A 6,000-nucleotide genomic window follows, 5' to 3' on the forward strand; every position below is an offset into this window, starting at 1 on the left:
GGATGCAGTGTCTCACCCTGGTAATCCCAGAACTTTGGAAGGCTCAGGCAGGAGGATTGCTTGAGCCCAGGAGTTCTAGTTGCCAGCCTGGGCAACACAGGGAAACCCTGTGTCTACAAAAAAATTTGTAAAAAATTAACTGGTCATGGTGATGTGTGCCTGTAGTCCCAGCTACTCAGGAGGCTGAGATGGGAGGATTGCTTCAGACCAGCAGGTTGAGCCCCCAGTGAGCAGTAATCATGCCATGGCACTCCAGCCTGGGTGACAGAGACCCTGTCTAAAAAAAGAAAAGAAAACGCCAGGTGCAGTGGCTCACGCCTGTAATCCTACCACTTTGGGAGGCTGAGGTGGGCAGATCACCTGAGTTTGGGAGTTCAAGACCAGCCTGACCAACATGGAGAAACCCCGTCTCAACTAAAAATACAAAATTAGCCGGGCGTGGAGGCGCATGCCTGTAATCCCAGCTACTCAGGAGGCTGAGGCAGGAGAATCGCTTGAACCCAGGAGGTGGAGGTTGTGGTGAGCCGGGATTGCACCATTGCACTCCAGCCTGGGCAACAAGAGCAAAAACTCTGTCTCCAAAAAAAAAGAAAAGAAAGAAAAAGAGCTTAGGGACTTAACAACGTTAGAAGATTTCACCTGTGCCAAAATTATTTAGAGAATTTTAAATGTGACAATTGTCCTGGTATGAATACATTTACAGCAAAAAATAATCATAAAGATATAGTTTATCTCATATATTTGTTAAAATAGAGATTTGATTTTACTCTAAACAATCCTTGTAAATAATTTCTTTTCTGCTATACCATTGTGCTGTGTAGTGTGTCTCTGTATATCATCCCAGAAAGCTTAAATTGGCTTGATTTAATAGTAAAGAATTTTTTAATTAAAAAAATTTGAACTAACAATTGTCATAATTAATCTCATTTTAAAGTTAGTCCATGTTGAACTTTTCTGGACTATTTATGCATTGATTATTTTAGCATACATTTACAGAATGCCTACTGCGTGCCAGGCATTATAATAAGTGCTGAGGGAAAAAGATAAAGAAGACGCAGATCTTTCCTCTAGAAGGTCTCAGTCTAGAGAAAGACAGACAATTGCATTACAGAGCAGTGAAGAAGTTAAGATTTAGAGTAAGACGAAGTATGCAATGGTGTATGCATCAGAATACGCAACAGGCATAATGGGCTAACACCAAACCGGAGGAGTGGGTACAAATCAAGAAAGGAGATGGTCGCTGAGTAAAGGATGAATAAGAGTTTCCCACATGAAGTGAGGAAAGTCAGTCCAAGAAAGAGGGGCAGTATCTGCAGAGTTATGAAAGTGTGATGACAAAGCGAGGTGAGTATGGGGAAGTAAAATTGGTTCAGCATGACCAAGAACTTATATTGGGCTGGCACAATGACTCACGCCTGTAATCCCAGCACTTTGGGAGGCCAAGGCAGGCGGATCACCTAAGGTCAGAAGTTTGAGACCAGCCTGGGCAACATAGTGAAACCTTGTCTCTACTAAAAAATACAAAAATTAGCCAGGCATGGTGGTGAATGCCTGTAGTCTCAGCTACTTGGGAGGCTAAGGCACAAGACTCGCTTGAACCCAGGAGGTTGCAGTGAGCCGAGATCACGCCATTGCCCTCCAGCCTGGGCAACAGAGTAAGACTCCGTCTCAAAAAAAAAAAAAGTTATATTGAAGCGAGGAAGCATGCTGGCAGATAAGGCTAAACAGAAGGGCAGATGTCAGATGATGAAGAACCCTTTATGTCATGCTAAAGATTTGAATTTTGTTCTGAAGGCAGTGGGAATTCACTAAAGGTGTTTTAACAGAAGAAGGTCATGATCAGATTTGTGTTTTAGAAGGTCAATTTGTTGGCAGAATAGAGAATCAATATTGGAAACAGGGAAACCAGTTAGCAAGCTGGTGCAGAAACTCAGGTAAGAAATCACAATGGCCAGGTCTTTCTGGTCATGGTCATTATAAATGCTTGTGAAAATGTTTAATCTCCTTCACTGCAGTAAAATTCAGATTCAAACAAATAATACTCATTTTTATTTTTGAGTCCTAACATTTTAAGTTGAACTCTTCCCACCCTCTTGAAAGCAAAATATTCTGATAGTCTCGTCTCAATATTTAGCATATCTTTTTCTGAATCATAAAACCACCATTTGTTAAGAAGGTAACAAAAAAATGGGGATGTGGTTCTTTAAAATTACAGCAATTTCACATATCTGCACCATAATCTACTACACCTGTTCATACACCCACCTCCTGCCATTATTAATAGTCTTTTGCTTTTACAATTTTCCATTCAAACCTCATTTTTAAAAACTAGGGTGACCACCAAATTGGGCGAGTCACTTTTACAGTCAATTCTTCTGGTTAGTAGAATTTCAGTTCTCAGTTTTGTTTTTAAATAGTAAGAGTTATCCTAAGTGTCCAAAAATGTAGTTGAGTAGTATCATCATCTTTCTTAAGCGTATCAGAAGAAGGCAAGGAATTTTAACGCAATATTAATTCAAATTTAGGACTTGAGTTATGTACTATGATAGGTGTGATTGGAAGTAAAATGTACTCACAAATGTCAATTTGCCTAAGTTTGAATCAAATGGGAAAGGCATAACTCAATAGACGTTATGGAGATAAGTTGTAAACAATACTACATTAGTGGGAAACTTCTGCAAGTCTATTAAGTTCATTAAATGAGACATATTTAGGCATGCTTTTAACTTGAACCTTTTGTTTTCTCCATATGCCTTGACTTTAATGCTAAATTACTGTTGTCATAATAAATATTTATAAGTCTATTACCAGTGGCACTTAATGGTAAAACTAAGAAATGATGAGAAATAGAGTTTGGGAAATTCCTCACTCCACTAACAACTTCATAAGGAGAGATTCAGAATTTCCAAGACAGAAATTTGGGCCTTGGTTTATATAATAGATGAGTTCCTGTAATTTGCATTTACAGGAGAACTCCTGGAGATTACTTTGCTCAACTCCCTAATATTGAGAAAGTGAAGACTAGAGAATTTTCTGATGCAACCAGTGTGACAAAACTTATTGGTAACTGCCCTAGAATCTGGGACAGAGGTCTTCCCAAGCATCCCTGCCTTCTTTTCCAGGATCTTATAACCAATTTAGTTAAGGCGGAGAATTCCTCCTAGAGAAGGAATTCTTTTTTTATATAAAGTTAGTAATCATACTAACTTTATAAAATTATACTATAAAAAATATAAAAATTATACTGTATTTTCTATAAATTTTGACAATAATACCTCTATTTAGTATACCCATGGGAAAATACATTCAAGCAATTCATCCATCAAGTTTGAATTAAAAGAGTTTGGAGGTTGTGTGAGGACGTAACCTGAATTGATCAAAAGAGTTAAACCATAAATAATTTGGAAGATTTTTTTCTTGTAAATAGCAGTGAGACTAAGCTGACCATGTCTTGTTGCTCATAGACTTAGAGATCCCATTTTAATAACTGAATGGGGGTAATGGGTAATCAATCAGATGTCTAAGCTGAGTTGTTCTATCTTGCCTTGACTCAAGGGGGTCTAAAGCCCAGCCACTTCTAATTTGTGATTTTGGAAGTTCTAATTATGATATTACTTTAATTATTAAAAATTTCCAGCAAAGGGAAAGTGGAGGCCTTACAGGAAATTGCACCAGAGGCTTTCAGTGGAGCCCCAAATAGGAACATTCCCTGTCTCATCTTCTTCCATCAGTATGGACTGTAAAAAGAAGTGGGGAGATTATCATGCTAAGGACATGACATACAAGAGTCCTTGGACTTATTGAGAATCTTGGTCTCAACACACAATATTCAATTAAAATGGAGAAAGATTTGGCTGCTTAATGGTATTCATTTTCATATGGGCTGGGTGGGGTCCTCATGCCAAGGGAAGTCTAAGTTATAAAACAATTACTCAAGCTCTTGTGGCTGAGCCATTATTGTCCAAGAATCAGGCTATTCATTAAAGAAAAACTTACCTTTTGAGTCCTAGTCACACTAAAAATCCCTTTCATTAAAGTGGTGGCAACTCCTCGTCAATAAGGGAAGGGAACTGACATTTGTGCACCTGCAATATGTTTTGCATGTTTCCTCATTTTCACAATAGCTCTGTCAGACATGTATTACTGCACTTCACAAATGAAGGAACAAATTCTAAGAAAGGAAGAAAGTGACTCCAGGTCACTTTCAGAAGACTGATCTGTCTGAACTCCAGATGAGCTGTCTGAACTCAGAGTTCAAGTCCATTCCACCATACTCTGCTCTTTACCTGATATAAGAAGAGCCAGAGGATCCCAAAACCTCCATTCAGAGTGAAAATATATTGTAAAATCCCATATCCTTTGGGTGTGAAGACAGTTGGCCTTGCTATGATGCCATATTATGCCCTGTGCATTTTATCTGCAAAATCTGCTGGCTATACCAAACGGCCAGAAAATATCTCCAGCTATGATTAACTAACTCTAGGGTGGGTGCTTAACTAAGAAATGCAATTTGATTGCCAGGCGCGGTGGCTCACGCCTGTAATCCCAGCACTTTGGGAGGCTGAGGCAGGCGGATCACAAGGCCATGAGTTGGAGACCAGCCTGAACAACATAGTGAAACCCCACCTCTACTAAAAATACAAAAATTAGCTGGGTGTGATGGCACGTGCCTGCAATCCCAGCTACTCAGGAGGCTGAGGCAGGAGAATCACTTGAACCTGGGAGGAGGAGGTTGCAGTGAGCCGAGATCACGCCATTGCACTCCAGCCTGGACAACACAGCGAGACTCTGTCTCAAAAAAAGGAAAGAAAAGAATTGCAATTTGATGATGCTGGGAACATTTGTTTCACAGCTATCCAACGAGACCTAATCCCAGCTTCATTGTTTTGAGATTGTCAGATGCCAAAAGTAGTGAAGACAAGGGGCCAAGGCAGATGTTACAACAAATTAACAAGGGATGCTGCAGGCCAGGGAAGAGTTGTAAGTGTTTGAGGCATACGTTCAAGTCATCTAACCTTGTTGACTAAAAAAGGCTGTCAGAAAGTAAACAGCCACAGAGACAAGACAGCTGAGCTCCCAGCAGTATCTGGCTTTATCATCAGTAGCTTCACTGCTGTCTGGCTAAGCGTTTGGGCTGGCTTTCCCATGCAATGGGATCATGTAAGACGGAACATTAGGTCATGTCCAGTTTACCAGAGCCAGTCAAGTGTGTTCTACATTTAGAAAAAGAGGAAGAATCTCTGGGCCCCCACCCCCTTACAAGGCCACAGAACAGCCAGCCTAGGGTCAATTAGAATGACCATGTCTTGTTTTTGTTTACCCCACATACACCAGGAAACGTCTCTGGCACTACATAGGCCACATTTTTTTTTTTTTTTTTGAGACAGAGTTTTGCTCTTGTTGCCCAGGCTGGAGTGCAATGGCGCGAACTCGGCTCACTGCAACCTCTGCCTCCCAGGTTCAAGCGATTCTCCTGCCTCAGCCTCCCGAGTAGCTGGGATTACAGGCACCCACCACCATGCCCAGCTAATTTTTTGTATTTTTAGTAGAGACGGGGCTACACCATGTGGGCCAGGCTGGTCTCGAACTCCTGACCTCAGGTGATCCACCCACCTCTGCCTCCCAAAGTGCTGTGATTACAGGCGTGAGCCACCGCGCCCAGCCCATAGGCCACATTTTTATGTTACTAAACTTGGAATAATAGTAGTAGGGTATTTTTTCATCACATTCACAAAGGTAAATATATAGACCTGCCTAATTGTGAAGATTCATACACATTAGATACATTCAGTGGGAATTATCTCCAAAATATGCCTATTATAAAATACAGTGGTGTATTAAAGGGTCTTCCAAATGAATGTGTTAAAATATAAATATGTAAAAACTGAGAAGTCTTACCAAAAACCAAAGGACGTGCAAACAGCATTTTTAGATGGGGGAAAAAAATGTTCACCATCACACTGATAAGAAAAAAGATGTGCAAAACAAAATTGCAATGAG

The 6,000-nt window shown here is 40.4% G+C and overlaps 1 annotated feature.

Annotated features, from left to right (window-relative positions):
- Positions 1,326-1,405: a silencer, noted in NCBI's record as "silent region_18323". NCBI's record gives its function as "represses an Ori minimal core promoter by ATAC-STARR-seq in GM12878 lymphoblastoid cells {active_cell/tissue: GM12878}" and the evidence as "EXISTENCE:reporter gene assay evidence [ECO:0000049][PMID:35858748]".

This window comes from Homo sapiens, chromosome 7, assembly GCF_000001405.40.
Source record: "Homo sapiens chromosome 7, GRCh38.p14 Primary Assembly".
Classification (NCBI taxonomy): domain Eukaryota; kingdom Metazoa; phylum Chordata; class Mammalia; order Primates; family Hominidae; genus Homo; species Homo sapiens.